The sequence below is a fragment of the Homo sapiens genome, chromosome 10, assembly GCF_000001405.40.
Source record: "Homo sapiens chromosome 10, GRCh38.p14 Primary Assembly".
NCBI classification, from domain to species: domain Eukaryota; kingdom Metazoa; phylum Chordata; class Mammalia; order Primates; family Hominidae; genus Homo; species Homo sapiens.
In genome coordinates this window covers 377,301-399,980 of record NC_000010.11, presented here as the reverse complement: position 1 = coordinate 399,980, position 22,680 = coordinate 377,301, and the positions used below count along the sequence as shown (strand labels likewise).

The window sequence follows — 22,680 nt, the reverse complement described above, 5'->3', positions numbered from 1 at the left end:
ATTCTACTCTTAGGAACTTAGTTCTTAAGAGAGGCTGAGCTGGCAGGATGGGTTGGTGCCACATCCAGGCAGCTACACAGGGAAGACTGCTGCAGGGCCAGGGCCCACAACACATGCACGTGTGTGGCACCAGGGGACTGATGCTGCCACCAGCCCTAGTGCCAGTAACTTGGGCTTTACTCATAGTCAGCCTCCACGAACTCACGCCATGTGTGAAGCAGCCCACTGAGTTCTCTATGTGCATTCTCTCATTTGACCTTGACCACCGCATTAAGACATCAGCTCTATCATTATTCTCACTTTTCAGAGAAGAACACTAAGGCTCAGAGAGGCCACAATTGTGCCTGAGATCCCAGAGCCAAACACTGCCATGGGATCTGAGCTGAGTCCTGCACATGCTGTCCCAGGACAGTTATGAAGACTGTATAGAAATACAAGGAAGTATTTACAAAGCTTAGTGAGAAACAGTAGGATATAACTTCATCTATGTGGAAACGTGTGGGTATGGAAGGTAGTATGCAGAAAATAAAGGCAGTTGTACTCTGGTGACAGTATCATAGACGACTGTTCACGTTTGTCTTCTATATGAATTCAAGGCCGGGTGTGTGATGCTTATTAAAACACAGCTTACTGAAATGCATTTTACATAGGATCTGGTTCTCACTGAAGCGTGCCCTCTCACCTAGAACCAAGCTCTTCCGTGGCGTCTTAGGAAGCCAGGACCCCACGTTAATGCTGACCCGCTCTGGCCTGTCCCACAGGTGGCACTGGTGTTCCCCAACAATGATCCGGCTGCCTTCATGGCGGCTTTCTACGGCTGCCTGCTGGCCGAGGTGGTCCCCGTGCCCATCGAGGTGCCGCTCACCAGGAAGGTAAGGAATGCGCCCTTTGCTCGGTTTCTCGCTGAGTGAGATGGCTTTCACGGTGGCTGTATCCCGGCTGGGTGAGGGTCTCCTCGCTGTTTCTGGGGCCCTGGGTTTCCTTCGGTTGCCTCGATAAGGGATGCGGTCGCTAGTGGGCCCTGCAGCCTGGGATGGGCGTCCTGGAGGTGGAGCACAGCTTGCTTTGGGGTCAAACGTGGATCAGCAGCCTCTTGGTCAGTAAAGCAAGGGTGTTTGAGAATCTTGTTCCTTGGTGTCATGTGCACTAGAATTGGGGTAAATGATAGTTTTTTTTTAATTATTATTTTGAAGGGTGGTGGATGCTGCTTTTGTTCAGGTGTTTTGACATCCAGTCCAAGGTTGACCTATGATTTGTCAGGTTTTATTCTATAATGAAAATAAGCTACTAAACTTGCCATTGTAATTATTGTTTAATCCAATGTAAAGAAATTAATGTGCGTTGTCAATCAAAAAGTATTTGAGACAGGTTTCAATTTAGAATTTTATTTTGCCAAGGTTGAGGACGTGGCCATGCCACAGCCTCAGGAGGTCCTGAGAACGTGTGCCCAGGGTGGTCCGGCTGCAGCTTTTGGGTTCGTACATTTTAGGGACACATGAGACATTAGGCAATACATGTAAGACATATGTTCATTTGGTCTAGAAAGGTGGGACAGCTTGAAGCCGCAGTGGGGGCCTTCCAGGTCACAGGTGGATTCTAAGATTTTCTGATTGGCAGTTGGTTGAAAGAGTTTATCTAAAGCCCTGAAATCAATAGAAGCCAGTGTCTTAGGGTTCGGGGTTGTGGAGACCAAGGATTTTATTATGTGGAGGAAGCCTCCAGGCAGCAGGCTTCAGAGAGAATAGGTGTAAATGGTTCTTATCAGACTTAAAAATGTGCCAGACTCTTAGTTAATTCTCCCCTGGATCAGGAAAAGGACCTGGAAAGGGAAGGAGATTGTCTACAGAATGTAGATTTTCCCCACAAGAGAGAGCTTTATAGGGCTATTTCAAACTATGTCAAAGAAATATATTTTGAGGTAAAATACTTCGATTTCTTTCAGGGCCTGCTATTTGTCATGTTGGTATCTTATTGCTCCAGAGAGTCAGCTTTGTCAGTCTGGAGGTGTCTGTTTTAATGCCATTGCTGGTCAACTGTGTCTGAATTTCAAACAGAGGATGAGGGAGTAAGGGGGGCATGTCCGACCCCTCCTTCCCATCATGGCTGAACTGGTTTTTCAGGTTAACTTTGGAATGTCCTTGGCTGAGGGAAGAGGTCTCTTCAGTTGGTTGAGGGGCTTAGAATTTTATTTTTGGCTTACGCTCATACCAATGTAAGGTTTTAGTCCATGTGGATGGTTTGTTCTTCTGTAAAGCAGTTACGGTAACTGTAAGAGACATGAAGTGGGGCGGCTGCAGTGCAGGTCACGCTGCTGCTCCCTGTAGGCGGCCAGTCGTGTAGGAGGAAGCCAGCAGCACGCGCCCCAAGGGACTGCCCAGGTCTGAACCTGCAATGTGCCTGTGCACACTGCCCTTAAACCATCAGCTCCCTTCAGCACTTTTTTTTTTTTTTTTGAGATGGAGTCGCTGTGTCTCCCAGGCTGGAGTGCAGTGGCACGATTTCAGCTCACTGCAACCTCTGCCCCTCGGGTTCAAGCGATTCTCCTCCCTCAGCCTCCTGAGTAGCTGAGATTACAGGCGTGTGCCACCACACCCGGCTAATTTTTGTATTTTTAGTAGAGATGAGGTTTTGTTACGTTGGCCAGGCTGGTCTCGAACTCCTGACCTCAGGTGATCTGCCCACCTCGGCCTCCCACAGGGCTGGAATGACAGGTGTGAGCCACTGCGCCTGGCCCCTTTAGCACATCTTTAATGTGTGCACAGTGTGGGTGACTCTTCCAGCTCTAAAAGGCAACAATCACAGGTAGCCCAGGCAAAGAAACTTCAGCTGTCTTTGTGGCTACTCCAGCATTAAAGTTTGTTGACTCAATATTTAAGAAAACCATCTGCCACGTGGGTATCTCTTCAGAGTCTGTGCCAGTTACATGGTTGCATTTCAAACTTCCCCTTGGATGGGAAGGGAGAGAACACGGGGTTCCTTTTGGAAACAGGAAAGATGATTGCTATTTTCATTTCCTATGTACAAAGCCAGGAGGTTCATGCTTGGCCTCCTGAGTATGCTCGTGTCTGGCAGAGGCAGGGGAGTCTGTGGTAGCTGCTATGGGAGAATGCCAGTTTCCCCCCCACCGGATTTGCAGCCAGTTTCCCCCCCCCCCACCGGATTTGCAGCCAGCACTCCACGTGTGCATCAGACAGCTCAGACTTCCCGTGAGGTGCTTTCTCATCCCCTGGGTCCCATGGTCTTCACAACAGGTGAGAAAAGTGGAAGGACTGGAGGACTCCAGTCATGCTTACATGACAGCCTCAGTACTATAGTTAACCCCAGTCCTGGGATCTAGTGAGGAGTTTACAAGGCTTCTCTTCAGCTGATGTTCATGTCCATGGTTAGGGGCTCTCTGGACATGCTCTGAGGTCTCTAAGCGACAGTGAAATGATGATTTGCAGGAACTTGTAGGCATGAGCATATGGTGATGGTTCAATAACCAGACACAAAACATTTATCATTGTTATTCGTAACAATTATTCTTTTCTTCACTTTAATAATTTGTATTTATCCATGTTAAAGTGTATAGCCTGGTGTCCTCCAGTCCAGGCTGGTTTGTAGAGGAAAATGATTTGGATAAAGGGGGGAGGTGGTTTTCCTGAGCATGTTGGAGTGCTGCTCTCAGGTTGGCAGAAATGCCATCCTATTATCTCAAATCCTAGGCATAGCTCCAAATACCAAGGTGGCATTTATTTCAGCCATGAAACGTTTCACTGTAACACATTTAAGATGCTTTGAAATAATGAATTAAGTACCTTTGAATGGTAGTAGAGACATAAACCGTACGTTTTGAACAAATCAGAAATCTTTCCAAGGCCACGTGGCTGGGAAGCTGTGGCAGTGATGATGGAGGAAGAGGACAGTTTTCCTCTCCCACAGGAGGACCCAACAGTCCCCCTCAGCTGAGAGCCCCTTGTACCCGAGTAGAGGCTGCACGTTCACTGTGCACAGGGCAGGGTCCACATGGGGATGAGGGGCATCTCGGGGGGACTCTCTGTGGTCCGAGGGCAGGGAGCATAGCAGGAGAACAGTGTGGGGACATTTCAGGAGGCCAGGACTTCTCACGCTGGGAGGTCCCTGGGGACTTACGTGTCAGTGACTGTAACCTGTGCATGTGATGAGGACACGGGGACAGGAAAGATCCCCTGCCTGTCCCTCACCTCCAGGACATAGGGAGGGGCCCTCTGTGGCTATGGTTTTATCACCAAGCACCAAAACCCCTCTCAGAAGAAAGGGCTGACATTCCTGTCTTGCCCTCTCTGTGCCAATATAACCCTGAGGTGACTTTGCCTACAGATGCCTCAGGCTTTGCAGAAAGCTGTGGAGAACGCACAGACCTTAACAAGGCATTTAGAAACCTTTACTGTGCCAACCAGTGGTCATGGGATAGAATGCTAGGGAAGCCACAAGTGATTTCACAGGTGAAGTACAGAGACCCTCCCCTGAGGCCGAGCCTCTCAGGTCTAAAGACACCGTGACTTGATTTTACTTTTTAAATATTATTTTAACTGACAAGTTATAATTATATACATTTATGGGGTAGAGTGTGATGTTCTGATATATGCATACGACGTGGAATGTTTATCAAACTGATTAACATATCTGTCACCTTGCTTACCTCTCATTTTTTATGGTAAGACATTTGGAATATACTCTTGGTTATTTTGAAATGTAGATTACATTTTCATTTATTATAGTTACCCTGCTCTGCAATAGATCTCAAAACCTCTTCCTCCAATCTGAGGCTTTGTCTCTTCTGACCAACATCTCCCCATGTCCTCCCTCCCCCCCATCTCCTCCCTCCCCCAACTCCTCCCTCCCCCCAACTCCTCCCTCCCCCCCAGCCCTCGTGGTCACCATTCTATTCACTGCTAAATGCCACGTGTAAATGAGCTCATGTAGCCTTGGTCTTTCTGTGCCTGGCTTATTTCCGGCAGCCTAATGTCCTGGTTCAGCATACGGCAGGCTTCCCTCCTCACTGACGGCTGAATAGTGCCCACTGTGTGGCACAGTGTCCTTCCTGTTCAGCATACGGTCACCTTCCCTCCTGTCTGAAGGCTGAATAGCGCCCACTGTGTGAGGTAATGTCCTTCGGTTCAGCACAGAGCAGGCTTCCCTCCTCCCTGAAGGCTGAATAGCGCCCACTGTGTGGCCTAGCGTCCTTCCTGTTCAGCATGTGGCAGGCTTCCCTCCTCCCTGAAGGCTGAATAGCGCCCACTGTGTGGCCTAGCGTCCTTCCGGTTCAGCATGTGGCAGGCTTCCCTCCTCCCTGAAGGCTGAATAGCGCCCACTGTGTGGCATAATGTCCTTCCTGTTCAGCATACGGTCACCTTCCCTCCTGTCTGAAGGCTGAATAGCGCCCACTATGTGACGTAATGTCCTTTGGTTCAGCACAGAGCAGGCTTCCCTCCTCCCTGAAGGCTGAATAGCGCCCACTGTGTGGCATAATGTCCTTCCGGTTCAGCACACGGCAGACTTCCCTCCTCGCTGAAGGCTGAATAGCACCCACTGTGTGATGTAATGTCCTCCTGGTTCAGCACACGGCAGGGTTCCCTCCTCGCTGAAGGCTGAATAGCACCCACTGTGTGCCATAATGTCCTTCCAGTTCAGCACAGAGCAGGCTTCCCTCCTCCCTGAAGGCTGAATAGCGCCCACTGTGTGACGTAATGTCCTTCCGGTTCAGCACAGGCCCGGCTTCCCTCCTCGCTGAAGGCTGAATAGCGCCCAGTGTGCCGGCTCTGCCTGCTCTGCATCCATTCGTGGGTCTTTGGGCACTGTGGTTGATTTGTCTTCTTGACCCTTGTGGATAACACTCCAGTGAATGTAGGGATGCCGATAATCTGGATTCCTGATCAATTTCAGTTCCTTTGGCCCAATACCCAGTAGCAAGATTGCTGGATCATATGGTAGTTCTATATTTAGGTTTTTGAGAAATCTCCATACCATTTTCCATAATGGCTGTGCTAATTTGCATTCCCACCAATAGCGTGCAAGGGTTTTCTTTTCTCTGCATCCTCATCAACGGGTATTTTTCCTCTTTTTGATAAACACGTTGTAACCAGTGCAAGAAATGTGAGGTGATGTCTCCTTGTGGGTTGTTTTTTTTTTTTTTCCTTTTCCTTTTTCTTTTTCTTTTTTTTTCTTTTTTTTTTTTTTTTTTGAGACGGAGTCTCGCTCTGTCACCCAGGCTGGAGTGCAGTGACGCAATCTCTGCTCACTGCAACCTCCGCTTCCCGGGTTCAAGCTATTCTCCTGCCTCAGCCTCCTGAGTAGCTGGGATTACAGGCGCGTACCATGGCACCTGGCTAATCTTTATATTTTTAGTAGAGATTGGGGTTTAGCCATGCTGGCCAGGCTGGTCTTGAACTCCTGACCTCCACTGATCTGCCTGCCGTGGCCACCCAAAGTGCTGGGATTACAGGCCTGAGCCATCGCGCCTGGCTTCCCTGTGGTTTTAATTTGCGTTTCCCTGATGATTAGTGATGTGGAGCACCTTTTCATGGACCTGTTGGCCATTTGGGTGCCATCCTTTCAGAAGTGTGCCTTTAGAAAGTAGCAGCTTATTGGTCTTAGAGAACTTTTCTTATTTTTAACTGAAAGAATCTGTTGGCTATGGTGCAAGTCAAAGTGAGGTCAGATGAGCATATTCGTGTAGTTAAGTATGTGAATCCTAATATTGCTTCCATCTGCCAGTCCTACAGCCGCTAGAAGTGTCTTCGAATAAAGACCCTGATGAGAACCTAGTTTTCTGAATGCATCCTGGGAGGATTCTTTTTATTCACTTTCCTGAGATGTAGCACCTGTTTCCCGGAGTTGGCCTCAGATCCAGCCAGACTGAGGCCGACGCCACCTTTCCAAGGACAGAGGACTGAGGCCTGTGAGTCAGGAAAGCCACTAGTCCAGGTGCAGCCGGGTCCCGTCCTTGGGTCACCGGCAGAGGTCGTGAGGCCCACTGAGGACCCGCAGCCCTTTGCTTCAGGTGCTGTGTGCAGGGTCCATCTGTCTGGTCCCTTTCTTTGTTGAGTGTGTGTGCGCGCCTGTGTGTGGGCACGTGTGTGTGAGTGTTGAGTGTCTGTGTATTGTGTGGGGACGTGTGTGTGCGTGGGCGTGTGTGTGTGTGTGCGCTGAGTGTGCGCATCCGCGTGTGTGCATGGGCGCGTGTGAGAGTGTTAAGTGTGTGTGTGTGTATGTGAGTGTGTGCGCGTGTGTACCTGGGCGCGTGTGTACCTGGGCACGTATGTGTGTTGAAGACTCCACTGGGCTGCCTCCCACATGGGTGTGTAGGGTGAGACATGGTTAAGTGCTGTTCTGAGCACACTGGCCAGGGCTGGGCAGAGCTGTGCTGAGGGCTGGCGTCTGACGGGGCCGCGGGGGGCACTCTACACGTGCGGAGGAGCAGCAGGCCCAGCCTCACCTTGGCTGAATAGCAGCCGCATCCTCCCAGGCCTGCTGCTCCTGTGGTTTTCAGTCTCTTCCTTATTTTTTGGGATCTTCTTATGTGTATGATTTTATCATTTGGGGGATTAAATCACGGGCGGACACTACCAGGGCAGGGTTTAGCGAAAGGTTGGCTCCTGGCCTGAGGTCAGCATTCCACCCACAGCCATGAGCGACTGGCCTCAGCCGTTCCTCCGTCTTGTGACAGTCACGCGTGTTCTCCTGCCTCGGCCCGGCACTTCCTGGCTCAGCAGAGCCGCCTTCCTGCTGCAGAAGCTGATGTCGCCCCACCTCTGCCCCTCACCTGTGTCCCTTCAAGAGTCGGGACGTTTGCTAATGTGATGTTCAGATTCACATTAAAGTGACTGATTAGGGCTTTACTTGAGCAAGCAGCATCTGTGTGAAAAGCACCACAAGATGTCCCCGAAGTGGGTTCCATCTGTCCGCAGAGCTCCCGGCGGCCAGATCTTGGGGAGCTGCCCTGCATGTGCTGGTTGGCTCATTTGGCTGTTGCTCCATGAAAATTCCACAGAGAGGCGTTTTCACTGTAGATTTAAATCTACAATAAGAAAAGTACTAAACACTTAAGAGACTACAGCTTTGAAATTTTAAATCTGCCTAATTTACCCAGGTGAAAACACCACTCTTCAGCTCATGTTTTCCTGTTATCAGGGAACAGGTGGGAAGATCCACAGCCAGGCCTCTGATTACTGACAGCAACCAGGCCTTGTAGGGTCCATAATTGAGGGGTTCATGCTGAGCCATCTGGGGAGCGAAGACGGTGACTTGCTCACTACAATGTGGCATTTTTAGGTCCTGGAACCCTGGCTGTTTTGGAGCTTTCAGTTTATTTTATGAATCAAATAATGGAAAACCCACACAGCTGGCACAGCTGGTGGGCGTAGAGAGAGTGATGCGAGTGCCTTGGCTGCTCGCCCACCTGCCTTTGGGCAGCTGGACAGGAGTGACGACTGGCGTAGGTCTGTTCAGGTCTGACCTTCCCAAACCGGAGCTGGCAGCCTGGAGCCACCTGTATCTGGTGTCTCCAGTGGGGCTGCACAGCAGTGGCCTGTTTCAGCAAGCTTCAGTTAGTTCGTTGAGACTGGGCTGCTCAGGGTGAGGAGAAAGTGACCCAGGTCTTCCTTCCTCTGGCCGAGGTGCCCTGCCTGGCACCCATGACAGGTGTGCCTTTCGTGCCTTTGGTCTTTGAGTGTTTTAAAGATCAGGCACTTGGTGTTAGCATGTTAGTAGAAGTGTTTTTTCAGGCCCTGTCTATTCTCTACAGTAATTGCATTGTATAATCATAGTCTTATGGAATTGGAGAGAGCTATAACAGCAGGCTCTTAACGCGACCCGCTGAACGCCAGCCTGCACTGAGCACTTTCCACACCCTCTTCTAATTTATCCCTCAACAAACCTGGGAGACAGCTGTTCTTTCTATACCTGTTTTACACGTGAGGACACTGAGGCCATGCAGTCTCACCTGTTCAGGGTCCCACAGATACCAAGCAGCAGGGCTGGGGGTTGGATCCTGGTTCTGCAGACTCGAGGGTCTGTGTGAACGCTGGAGGGAGGGCCGAAGGCTGGGCGGAGTGGGGCAGGTCGTGGATTCTCAACTCCTCTCTGTTGCCCTCTCAGGACGCAGGGAGCCAGCAGATAGGTTTCTTGCTTGGAAGCTGTGGAGTTACTGTAGCCTTGACTAGTGACGCCTGCCATAAAGGACTTCCAAAAAGCCCAACGGGAGAGATCCCACAGTTTAAAGGTAAGCCACCGAGCCTCCGAGAGCTCGCATGCCCACGTCCTTTGTCAGAAGACGGGTGCGGGAATACGTCACCCCGCCTCGGTTTCAATCCTCTGTGGAATGAAACGTCAGTCACAGACCCACGAGTTTTCACGCGTTCTCGTCCCTGATGACACAGCCGAGTTGCCAGCCCGTGGGGTGACGTGAGGTAACGCATGGTGGCGGCTTGGGTGCTCTTCTGTTGATGTCTTAGATCTCGTGAAGTCCGGAGACACCAGAGATTCGATCTAGTTGACGTGTTTGAAAGGGTACCACATAAATGGGGAGAAATTCTACAGACCGACTTTCAGAGTAACATTTAAAAGGAACTTGTTGTTTATTTCCAAGGTTGGCCAAAGCTGCTGTGGTTTGTCACAGAGTCTAAACATCTCTCCAAACCGCCCCGAGACTGGTTCCCACACATTAAAGATGCCAATAACGACACTGCGTATATTGAGGTGAGTCAGCCTTGGCCTCCTCCACTGGCCCTGAGTGTGGCCTTGGCACTAACGTGTGTTTCTGACGGTTACACGAGTGCCAAAATTCAGGGACTTGGAGAACCTCAAGTAACCAGAAAAACTGCCGTGACCTGTCAGCCCCACTTCCCTCACGCTTTGTCTCGTTTCAGTACAAGACGTGTAAGGATGGCAGTGTGCTGGGTGTGACGGTGACGAGGACTGCGCTGCTGACACACTGCCAGGCCCTGACGCAGGCGTGTGGCTACACGGAAGGTGGGGTGCCAGACCCTGACTCCTTGGGACCCTGGTTCTAACCGGGACACCTGACACGAAGGCCACATCACTCCCACGAGGAGCCATAGAAATAGCGTGAAGTTTGTGCCCAGCTCCGCTGACATGAACTTATTGTTGAGTTAGGATATCAGCTCAGCCTACCATAGCAAATACTACAGACTGGGCGGCTTCAACAGCAGACATTTATGTCCGCACAGCGCGGAGGTCTGAGGTCAGCGTGTCCTTGGGCAGTTCCCAGTGGGGGTCTCTTCCAGGTTTCTCGTAGGAGGTGTGAGAAGATGTGCAGTTAGGAACCCATCCCTACCACCCCACTGAATGCAAAGGACCTCCTGAAAGGTGCGCTCTCCACACAGCCACGCCGGGGCCTGGGCTTCAGCATGTGGATCTGGGGAGACGCTGTTAACGCCGTGGAGCTTCATCCCTGGGTGCACATGAGCATATCTTTAGTTGTAAAGAAAACGCCTGTGTGTCCACCCACCCTCCCAATTGAGTCAGAGTCTCTGCATTGGTGCTCGTGATGTGTTTTCCTTCCCCCGGGTGGGCTGGTATGGGAGGCAAAGAGGGGAAGTGAGTGGAGGGAACTTGAGTGGAGGGAACTGTGGCAACCACACTGAAATGGCACAGAGAGGGGAGGGTGCGACCCCGGGGACCCCAGAGACTCCCCCCATTGGTGGCCTGAGTCCTGCTGATATCCCCTGAAACCTCCTGAGATGTTCTGAGACGTTGTGATGTACCCTGAGGCCCTTTGAGACCCCTTGAGAACCCCCATGCCCCTGAGATCCCTTGGGATGCCCTGAGGCCCTTTGAGACCCCAGAGAACCCCCATGCCCCTGAGATCCCTTGGGATGCCCCAAGGCCCCTTGAGACCTCAGAGAACCCCCAGAGAACCCCCATGCCCCTGAGATCCCTTGGGATGGCCCGAGGCCCCTTGAGACCCCAGAGAACCCCCAGAGAATCCCCGTGGCCCTGAGATCCCTTGGGATGCCCCGAGGCCCCTTGAGACTCCAGAGAACCCCCCCATGTCCCTGAGATCCCTTAGGATGCCCCAAGGCCCCTTGAGACCCCCTCCGGAGACCCCCTGAGGCTCCCTGACATCCCCTTGACCAGGCTCCTGACAGGGCACCGCTGCGGCGTGCACCCCTGCCTGGCGTCTCTTTCTGGAACTTCACGAAGCCGTGGTGGCATCTGCCGCTCCGCTGTGGAATGAAACACTTTTCTTTTTCTACTATTTTTATTATCTGCCCATCCTCATAATCTCCCTTTTAAAAACAGCGTGTGTGTCTCGTGGGTATTCTGATGTTTGGCCATGGAGTTTTCACACCTGGGGACGCACTGCCCCCTGCGCCTCCAAGGTCCAGGGTGGTCACGCTTGTGGAGGTTGGGGAGGGAATGATACGTTCGCTCTTTACTTCACTACTTTCAAAAGGAACTTAGGTTGTTTACTTTTGGCCATTTATTGTGAAAGCCTCCTGTCTATTATCCTCCACACTTTAGCCTTTGGAAGGGGAGGTGAGACTGAGTCACCTGCAGGCAGCTGCTGACCTTGGCTGGCCAGGTGACTTCGGGAGAAAGCTAGGTCTGTTCAGGGCCAGCATGCTCTGTGATGGTAAACCTCATCAAGCACGAGCTTTTAGCACCTTTTTAGAGCCCTCCCCCATAGTCATTGAATAGATTGTCCTCCCCGTCTTCCAAATTGCAGTGCCTCCTTTTTTTATTGCAGCTCCAACCTTGGAGACTTGCAGTAGAGCTGTGTAGGCCCCTGTGTTGCCAAAAATCCACTTCCTCCTCTGTGCGCAGAGGGCATGCCAGCTGCAAAGCTTCCTTTCCTGGGAGACTCATGAGGAAGTGAAAAGAAATCTTTTAAAGAAAAAGGCAGAGAGGGGGAAATATATAAAAGGAGAAGGAACGCTGCGTTTTAAGGTGCAGTGTGGAGAGCTAACGCTGCTCACTCATGTGTCAGGATATCTGTCGAGAAACTCCAGGGTGGCCGGCACTCAAACCGGCCTACTTGGAGTCTACAGAATTTCCACCAAGATACGGCAAAATGATATTTTCCCAAGATCTGTTATTTCCCCTGATGCAATATTGGATTTTGTTTGCATTTTGATCTGTTGCCGCCCTGTCCTAAGTAAAAATCTCCTGACTCCCTCTGTTGTGCAGCTGAAACCATTGTGAATGTGCTGGATTTCAAGAAGGACGTCGGGCTCTGGCATGGCATCCTGACAGTAAGTGAGGTCCCCCCGGCCGTGTCTGTCCACAAAGGAGTCCCCCACCCTGCCCTGCCTGTCCACACAGGAGTCCCCCTCCCCATACTGTCTGTCCACACAGGAGTCCCCTCCCCACACTGTCTGTCCACACAGGAGTCTCCCTCCCACCCTGCCTGTCCACACAGGAGTCGCCCCCCACCCCGCCCTGCCTGTCCACACAGGAGTCCCCTCCCCTCACTGTCTGTCCACACAGGAGTCGCCCCCCCGCCGCCCGCACTGCCTGTCCACACAGGAGTCCCCTCCCCTCACTGTCTGTCCACACAGGAGTGTGCTGGGTGTAGGAATACAAATGCCTAGATTTGCCTACGTTTCACTTGTGCAAGCTGCTTCCTGCCACACTGTGAAGCAGAAAATCGTCACTGTTAGAAGACCGAGGTTGTCCACTAACGTGGTTCACAACTGCACCACAAAGCCAGTTGTGTCAGCAGCCACTGGTGTGAGGGTCTTGGACACGTGGATTGAGGTTACAGCTGCCGAAAACAGCCTTCCAGGGCTCACGTGGAGATCATTATCTTTCTTCCCGCACTTTTGGCATTCAGTATCTTAGAATAACGTCAAAGGTTGGTTCGTGTGTGGGCTACTGTCCCGTACATCTGGTTAGCTGGATGTTTCTGTTTGTTGAGTCGGTGGGGCCTGCTATTGTGTTACTCTGCGGGGGAAAGTAGTTTCCAGATTTGCCCTTGAGGATGGCAGTCTGTGTGTGTTGTAGGGAAACGACTGTCTCACAGTCACGAGTGCCCTGGATGACGTGCCGGGCTTGGGCACTTTTCGTGGGGAAGTAGCCTTGTTATTTGTTTAAGGTGGGCCTGGCCCTTAAAAGCTACGTGGAGCATGACTGCTTAGACGCTCCCCCCATCTGTTTCATATGTGGTAATTTTCACTCATTTTTCTTTTGAATAATTTCTTACGCTGAAGCTTCTTACCTTTTGGAGGTAGAAAATTCTAGGAGTTGTCACATGAGTGATGGGCATATGAATACAGGAATTCCTGTATTCGCCGTTTCTTGGCGAACCAGAATTCATGTGAAGAGGAGCCGGCAAGCATTTCCTAGACCAAATATCTGTGGCTGCAGAGCAGCCCGGCTGGCTTCTTTCCGTGTTACACACAGGTCGTCTCTCAAGTCTGGATGCTGTTGGGGGATAAGATGGAGCAGCGTGTTCCCAGCACCACTGTGTGCTGGTGCAGTGGGGAGCCCCTGCTTTGGGATTGAAGGACCTGGGATAAGATGGAGCAGCTTGTTCCCAGCACCGTTATGTGCTGGTGCAGTGGGAGCCCCTGCTTTGGGATTGGAGGACCTGGGCTTGTGTCTCAGCCTTTCCTTTCTTAGCTTTGTGACTCAGGCATGTCAGACGTGCGTCCAAGTCCCTTCTCAAATCCAAACCTCAGTTTTTCTGTCTGTGAATGGAACGACGATCCTATTTGACGTGGCCGGTGTGAGAATTCTGTGGCCTAAAGTTGAAGCACTCACTCCACCTACACGTTTGACGCATGTGATTCAATGATCAGGTCCCAAAGAACAGACAGCTACATCACTGGTGCCGTTAGTCACTCTCGTCATTAGAACACCCAACTTTCCGGCTGTGACGTTGTCCACACAGCCCTGCTTTCGAGGCCTCGTCGCGGGGCCGCCTCTCTGAGGAGCTCCCGCTGGTGGTGCCAGCCTGCCTGCTCCGTGCTCCGGGGTACAGCTGGCAGCCCTGGCAGGTGCGAGTCTCTCCACTGTCACATCTAAAGCGAGGTCTCTGAGCAGGCAGCAGCATCTTTTGAGACACCCTTACCTCCCCCAGCAGAGTGGCGGGGAGTCGGCAGAGCTCTGGGGAGTGAAGGCACATGCTTTTTTGCTTTCATCTGGAGCTTCCCAAATCGAGCCAGTGGCAGAGGGGTCTCTGCCCTCTCGTCTGCCCCCACCCCGTAGCCTACAAGACTGCAAGAATCCTAGCCCGCCACACAGCCTGCCAGGTGGTGCCTGGTCTGACTGCTGCGGTGTGAGGCAGGTGTGTTGCTGCCGCCCCTGTAGGTGTGAGTCCCAGCCTCTGTGTGCAGCAGCGTGCAGGTACTAGCCAGTGTTTCCCAGTTTATTTTTGTCAGAAGTAGTAATCTGCCGCAGCAAGGCCCGGCCAGAGCCAGAATCCGAGCTTCCCCTAGCCCTGCGATTCAGAGCAGTGTGCGGTTCTCAAGATGGGTTCTGTGAAATAAAAGTTAGCATAACACACCGGGAAGAATTAGGCTTTGAGGATACGAAAGGCTGTTGAAAATGACGATCTGTTTCACCAAAGGTTTCGTCTTAAAAAGATTTGGACTTAAATTACTTAATTCTGTCAGGAGTAGTTTAGGGAAAGCAGTGGAGTTCGAGGGAGACCTTGGGAAGTCGCTTTTCATGGACATGTTTTAAAGGATTACACCCAGACCCTACCGTGTCACATTCATGCAGACCAGCCATCCCTGCCATTCCCACACTGAGGAGCCTCCAGGGTCCTGTGCGACCGCTCCTCCTCCAGGCCTGTGCAGCCCGGTGTCCGTGGTGCTCCCTGAGAGCTGCTGATCCTCGGGTCCCGTGCAGCCTGGCGTCCACGGTGCTCCATGAGAGCTGCTTCTCCTCCCAGCCCGTGCAGCCTGGTGTCCGTGGCGCTCCCTGAGAGCTGCTTCTCCTCAGGGCCCGTGCAGCCTGGTGTCCGTGGCACTCTCTGAGACCTGCTGCTCTTCCGGGCCCTTGCAGCCTGGTGTCTGTGGTGCTCCTTGAGAACTGCTGCTCCTCCTGGCCCGTGCAGCCTGGTGTCCGCGGCGCTCCCTGAGAGCTGCTTCTCCTCCTCCTTCCCTGGGGGCCTGTGCAGTCTGGTGTCCATGGCACTCACTGAGAGCTGCTCCTCCACTATGCCCCTCTGTATTTGCCATCCCTGCCAGCCCCACCCTGAGGAGCCTCCAGGGGCCTGTGTGCATGGTGTCTGCAGCGCTCCCTGAGAGCTCCCCCCTGCCCGTGCGGCCTAGTGTCCATGCCACTGGGTGAGAGCTGCTCCTCTGCGTGCCCCTCCATGCTCACCCTGCGTGTTCCTTTGTTGATTGCAGAGCGTCATGAACATGATGCATGTGATCAGCATCCCGTACTCGCTGATGAAGGTGAACCCTCTCTCCTGGATCCAGAAGGTCTGCCAGTACAAAGGTGGGTCTCGCCGGGCGCAGTGGCTCACACCTGTAATCCCAGCGCTTTAGGAGGCCAAAGCAGGTGGATCACCTGAGGTCAGGAGTTCCAGACCACCCGGGCCAATATGGAGAAACCCCGTTTCTACTAATAATACAAAAATTAGCCAGGCCTGATGGCGCATGCCTATAATCCCAGCTACTCGGGAGGTTGAGGCAGGAGAAATCTTGAACCCAGGAGAAGGAGGTTGCGGTGAGCCAAGATCACAAAAAAAAAAAAAAAAAAAAAAAAAAAAGGTTTGTGGGGGCTGGGTGACCAGTGATTCTTCACCCTTCCCCACTACTCACAATGATCTCTCTTTTGCAATAGGGGACGATCTGACGGTGGCACATGTTAACTTATTTCTATTTTTCTTTTTAGCAAAAGTGGCGTGTGTGAAATCGAGGGATATGCATTGGGCATTAGTAGCACACAGAGATCAGAGAGACATCAACCTCTCCTCTCTGCGAATGCTGATAGTGGCGGACGGCGCGAACCCCTGTAAGTGAGGAGCGTGTGATCTCGTGAGGCAGGCGGGCTGTGGAGTCTTTTTTTTTTTTTTTTCGTGAGGCAGGCAGGCTGTGAAGTCTTTTTTATTTTTTCCCCAGGTTTCATTCTTTGCACTTTGATTTTTCTTTTTCTAATCCTTATCTTAGTAAAGAAATTGTCTTAAAATCACCAAACAGTAATCACTCACTCGGGCCAAGAGGTACGATGGCATAATAAGGACAGGCATTTGTAGACTCCACAGCCCTGGGATTCAGAGGATGTCTTGATTCTGTAGAGAAAGTTCCTTTGCTGACCCTGTTTCCCCGGCTGTAAAACGGTGCTTAAGTCATAAATTTTCATGAGGATGAAGTGAAGTAAGCCCTAAGCAGGTAATAAGGAAATATTCAAGAAATACTTGACTGCTAGTACTTTTTGGTGTATAGTAGTTTTCTTGATCAGTAAATTAATTTGTCGTTTTAAATGTAATTGCGTTATCACATCCTGTAACAAAAATACCCAGTTAAAGTAAATTAGCAGCTCCACAGAATACTATAAATACACCTTGAGAAATATTTCAGCCAACTGAAACAAGAACCTAGCTAGCATGCTTTTGTGAAAAAAGTACATAAAGCTTCAGAAGCAAAGTGAAATTAAAGGTATCTGACCACATTTATGAAACATGCAACGTTCATGTTTGTAAACTAAAGCAGCATAAACTCCTTTAATGCCTGATATACAAAAGCAGACTCATAAACAGGTTTTATAAACAGTCTTCACTTATAGAATTTCATAAATCCTGAGCTAATTTAATGAACAATTGGTTTTAACCCATAAGTACAAAACAATACATCTTGCATAAAGAAAAGTATATCTATATTTGGAGATAGTTTAGCTGATATGTTCTTGATAATTGTGCCTCGACCTCATCATTTAAATTAATAGAGAGGAAAGTTTTCTTCATTTGGTTTAGATTTACCCCTGTCTTGGAACTTCTGTACTGAAAATGGTGGAACAAGTCTCAGAAAAGTTACTAAAGTAAGTTCATCTGTCAGAAAAGGTGTCATAAATGTGGAGGTTGCATTCTTTAAATTCTTGAGTTCTGTTTGAGAATAACCACTTTCAGTGTAACATAAATAATAAATTGTATTAAATATTTTTCCACGCTGCCTAGATCCACTTGTGCCTGAATCCCACCTTCGGAACTATTTTCTATGGTGGGATTTTGTAATCAATCACAGTGCTTCAGCTGTCTGATCATTGTCCCTCTTTCACTCTAGGGTCTATTTCTTCTTGCGATGCATTTCTCAATGTCTTCCAAAGTAAAGGCCTTCGACAGGAGGTCATCTGTCCTTGTGCCAGCTCGCCAGAGGCCCTCACTGTGGCCATCCGGAGGTACTGGGTCATGTTGATTTACGTAGATAACCTAGAGACAGTCCTAATTCAGCAGCGAAGGGAGATCAGGAAATCCTAACAGTTGATGCTGAGGGTGAGGGTGAAAACGGGACCTAACCTTTCAAGATGAGTTTATTTCTGTTTTTATGTGCTGGAACAGATTCTTTTGAACAGCCTAGATTCATTCATTAAAAAACATTTATCGCTCTCTGCAGTTTCACGGTAATTCCTTAATAAGTGGAACTGTCTAGAGGCGCATGGAATCGTAATACCGTGTCCTTGGAATTTACTCCAATTTCCATGTGCGTGTACCAATCTCTGGTTTCTTCTGGGGTGGGATAGGGTCTGTTTTCATCAGCCTGCTTTTCTTGTAGTGTTACCGACTTCCATGTGCTGTGGGATTTACTGGTATATTTATTTTTTCATTGTCTGTCTCTGGTGTATAGTTGATGCCTAATACATATTTTTTGAGTGAATGAAAGTGAAATTTAAAGTAGGTAAATTCAGAGTGCACTTTGCTCTGACAATCTCATGTCATGCACCAGAAGTAAAGCCCAAACCTCTTCCTGTGTGATACGCACACACTTGACATTTTACCTAAGTGGAGCCGTCTGTGGGTTTGGGGTTTTGTTTTCATTTTCCTTGGTCAACGTAGGTGCCACTGACGGCCTAAATATGCTGTTGTAGGAGAACAGGCTCCTGCAGAGAAGTTGTGTCGGCTGTCAACGGCCCATCCAAGGCTGGTCCAGAGGGAAGGTGTGGCAAGAGAGAGGAGGTGTGGTGTGGGGCTCTTGGGGCAGCATGTCCACGGCAATACTCCCAGTGGTGGGGAAGAGAAGGACCATTCCTTTCCTGTGGGGTGAGCTCTGGAGTGTAGAGTGAGTGCAGGAGACCTGCTTGCAACAGGCTTCCCAGAGCAGTGTGTGGTTTTTAAATTATTGCAGGCAGAACTGTGGAAGGGCAGGCATTGACCAGGACACAGACAGAAATAACAAGAGCAGGACGTGTCTCCCTCCCACTGTCTTGCCTGGTGTTGCACGTGGGCACGCATGTCAGGTCGGCTGCGGCCTGCTCCCGTGCAGTGTCTGGAGGAGTGGTCTCTGGACACGGCCCACCATGGGTTACAGCAGCCCCTCTCCAGAGCCACCTCCCTGGAGCTGGCTTCAGTGGTCTTCTCTGGTGTGCCACTTTTCTGATTGGCGTGATTGGGCTCAACACACCGAAGGACCGAAAAGGATTAAAGGTACAATTTTAGCATTCCAGGTTGAATTAGAAATGACAGTGTCCTGAAAACTAGAAGCAGCCCGCAGTGTCCCCATGCCGGTTCTCCCTGCCCCTCCATCACTCAGTCTCATTAAGACTGTCTTTTTATGTCGTTATCATGCATATGATGCATATTTAAACCGTTCAGTGCTGATGCTGTAAGAAAGAATAATCTGTATAATTGGCCATTGCAGTTGGACTCCCTAATTTCCTGAGATGAATTAGGCAGCAACTCTATCTCAGTGGTGAAAATCTTTAGGAGAGAAGCCAATGCTGGTCCTTAGAACCTGTACCTTTCGTTACCCTGATGTTTAAGTTACTTTTGAATAAATTTGATGAAAGCAGCACTCGTACTTGCGTTTCCACCAACACATCCCTCTCTGCATTGTTTTCTGAATGTGTGAACAGAAGGGAAACTTCCCTCTGTGCGGGGGTTTCAGTTGTGTGCCACAGAAAGGTTGGGACAGATGCGTGTTTTTGGAAAATGAGCCAGTGCCTGTGAACTCAAGTGTATTCTGTCTTAAAACTTGAGGTGAATTTCCCATGTAGGAGTGGTCAGAGGCCAGGTTATTAAGTGAAAAACGGCTTTCGTACATTCCGTAAAGCTGTACTAAGTGAGGTCTGGCAAGGCTTCCCTGTAGGTTTTGGCATGAGAACAAAATGAATGCCTTCTTAAAGGTCGTCACGTCCAATGTGGGAGGCAGTACAGCGATCTCATTTTATTTACTCCTTATGTTTTTTAAAGAAGAAAGACAAGTGTTCGGCTGCTACATTCCCCTGTTTTGTTGCAGAGAAGGGTCTGTAGAGGACGGATTATGCCTGTTTGGATGGGTTCGAGGATGGCCGTTTCCTCTGTGTTGTGATCTAAGCATTTGTGTCCTGCGTGTTAACCATCATCCAGGGACAGCCTCTTCTGCCTGTTAACCATCATCCAGGGACAGCCTCTTCTGCGTGTTAAACATCATCCAGGGACAGCCTCTTCTGCGCATTAACCATCATCCAGGGACAGCCTCTTCTGCGCGTTAACCATCTTCCAGGGACAGCCTCTTCTGCACGTTAACCATCTTCCAGGGACAGCCTCTTCTGCGTGTTAACCATCATCCAGGGACAGCCTCTTCTGCACGTTAACCATCTTCCAGGGACAGCCTCTTCTTCGTCTTAACCATCATCCAGGGAGAGCCTCTTCTGCACGTTAACCATTTTCCAGGGACAGCCTCTTCTGTGCGTTAACCATCATCCAGGGACAGCCTCTTCTGCACGTTAACCATCTTCCAGGGACAGCCTCTTCTGCGCTTTAACCGTCTTCCAGGGACAGCCTCTTCTGCGTGTTAACCATCTTCCAGGGACAGCCTCTTCTGTGCGTTAACCATCATCCAGGGACAGCCTCTTCTGCGTGTTAACCATCTTCTAGGGACATCCTCTTCTGCACGTTAACCATCTTCCAGGGACAGCCTTTTCTGCCTGTTAACCATCATCCAGGGACAGCCTCTTCTGCACGTTAACCATCTTCCAGGGACAGCCTCTTCTGCGTGTTAACCATCTTCCAGGGACAGCCCCTGCTCCTGGTATCAAAGCAGAGACTGAACTTCCAGGTGCTGAGTTGCAGCTGGTTGGTTGCTTGGCTTTCAGTCCACTTAATTTAAAAAGGATAACGATTATCTGCAGTAGAATGCAAATAAAATTGCAGATGCATTTGCTTACTATTTGTAGAATTTTGGCCCTCTCTGGAATATGTATCACTTAGTGATTCTCTTCTGCAAAAAAGAAAACAAAAAAGTAGATAAATCAGAAGCTGAGGCACTCACAAGAAAGCCACCCAGTGGCTGCAGGTGCCAGCAGGGCCAAGCATGGACATCTGGGCTATGAGTCAGTCTTCCAGGCGTCAAGGTCCAGGGCCTTCAAGAGCCCCAGGTCTGACAGGGATGCCCACAGCCCACTGGCTGTGGAGTATCTTCATATCACTCTTGCAAGCAACATAGAATGTCTGTCATGCAAAACAGAGCATGTCGGAAAGTTCTGGGGCTCACAGGATCAATGGAACCTCCAGTATCCCGCTTGATAAATACGCAGGATGCACGGGCACTTCCGGGAGCAGCAGCAGCCCTAGTGATGGGGAAGGGGTTGGGGTGGGGTAGCGGGGCAGGGCGTACAGAAGCCAGCAGCAGCTGTCAGGGGTTGTGGGGGGGGGGGGGGGGGGCGTGGCACTCGGGAGCCAGCAGCAGCCCTGGCGATGGGTATGTGGGAGCAGGCTGGCGCCTGGGCCGCAGGTGCTGTGCCCTCTGTCAGGTTGCCCAGCGCTGCAGGCAGGTCACTGCCAGAGCTTATGCCATTGGTTCTCCCCTCACAGAAAGGCCAGTCTCCAAAAAAGAATGACCAGCACTCATTTTAGGGAGGTTGAGAGTCTTTAAAAACATGAGTCGGAGACTTTGAAGGGACAAGGGCTGGTGACTCGCCTGTCCTCACGCATGTCTGTGTCCGTGTCTTTATGCATGTCTGTGTTCACGTGTGTCTAGGCATGTCTGTTCACATGTGTCTATGCATGTCTGTTCACATCTGTGCATGTCTGTTCATTTGTGTCTTTATGCATGTCCATGGGTGTCTAGGCATGTGTGTTCACGTGTCTAGGCATGTGTTCACATGTGTCTTTATGCATGTCTGTTCACGTGTCTGTGCATATCTGTTCATGTGTGTATGCATGTCTGTTCATGTGTGCCTAGGCATATCTGTTCATGTGTGTCTTTATGCATGTCTGTGTTCGTGTGTCTTTATGCATGTCTGTTCATGTGTGTCTATGTCTGCGTTCACATGTCTGCATGTTTGTGTTCACGTGTCTGCATGTGTTCACATGTGTCTTTGTGCATGTGTGTTCACGTGTCTTTATGCATGTCTGTGTTCACATGTATGCATGTCTTTGTCTAGGCATGTTTGTGTTCACGTGTCTTTATGCATGCCTGTTCATGCATGCATGCCTTCATGTCTGTCTTCACCTGTGTATGCCTGTTTTCGTGTTTGTGTTGATGTGTGTGCCTTCATGTGTGTCTGTTTTCACCTTCGTGTTCATGTGTGTCAGCCAAGTGGTGGCAGGAAATCACGTTCTCTAGTGAAGTCTGCTCAGTCTTGCTACGTGAACTGTATTTTCACCTAGGCATTTAAAGTATTTTTTTCTCTTTAAAACTGTCACTGTCCTGTTATATTTTGTGTTTTCTTTTCTCCCGATGTTAGTTTTAGAGTAGAAAAATATTGGGGAAATAGGGGCTTGTGGTGCCTAAACTCATCAGACATTTTTTAAAGGACAAATTGCAAGGCGAAAACCAGGAAACTGTTTCCTGGCTACAAGTATCCCCTAAATCTCCTGCCATCTGACTCTGTTACCATCTCTAGAATGTAGATGATAGACTTGATTTTCTTAAAGCTACGTTGTGAAATGTTTATTGAACTGAAAAACATAATTTTTAGCTTTGTAACTACAAAGTACTATTTGGATACCCTGATATTTTAGTAATGAAAATGCAAAAATCATATAAAACAATGAAACAATAATTCCAGAAAAGATAAAATACCCCCTTGTCACCACAACCATCTTCTAGTTTTTGAAAGTATCCAAGCTCGAAGTTAGCTGGGAGAAAAATCAAAGAAGACGTGTCCGCAGGGAGAAGGGTGCTGTCTGATGCCCACTGGGTGCTGATGGTGCCTGGATGAGTGACAGCGGAGAAAACGTCAGCACAGCCCTGAGCCAAAGTGGATCCGAAGTGAGCACTTCCCACTGCTCGGAAAAGTCAGACCCAGAGTTCCATAATCCCGCATGTAAGAGAACGCAAGATAAACTGTGTCATTTTATCTAAAAAGAGGGATAAAATTTTGCAATTCTCTAACTACAGAGTAGTTTCGAGATGAAAATCACGTGACCCAGACCATGAGAGTTAGGTAGCATCGAATAGCAAACCAAGTTTCCTGTTTAATTTCACCCAACCACGTGCGTTTTACAGTGTGTTCTGTTTTGTGGTGAATTAGATGATGAGAAGTTGGTTTTGGCAAAGGAGGTGCAGCGGGAAGATGGCAGAGGAGGGGCCTCCCCACGGGGTC

General features: G+C 49.9%; 1 protein-coding gene across 7 annotated transcripts in view; it reads left to right on the top strand.

Annotated features, from left to right (window-relative positions):
* Positions 1-22,680, top strand: part of DIP2C (disco interacting protein 2 homolog C) — a 415,468-nt gene that overhangs the window by 289,688 nt on the left and 103,100 nt on the right. For all 7 annotated transcript variants that reach the window (NM_014974.3, XM_005252427.5, XM_005252426.4 and 4 more), the window contains 8 exons: positions 762-872; positions 9,118-9,241; positions 9,608-9,717; positions 9,888-9,990; positions 12,172-12,236; positions 15,342-15,435; positions 15,835-15,954; positions 17,220-17,334. In NM_014974.3, the coding sequence (NP_055789.1) occupies positions 762-872; positions 9,118-9,241; positions 9,608-9,717; positions 9,888-9,990; positions 12,172-12,236; positions 15,342-15,435; positions 15,835-15,954; positions 17,220-17,334 (842 nt within the window). The remainder of the gene's footprint in view (positions 1-761; positions 873-9,117; positions 9,242-9,607; positions 9,718-9,887; positions 9,991-12,171; positions 12,237-15,341; positions 15,436-15,834; positions 15,955-17,219; positions 17,335-22,680) is intronic.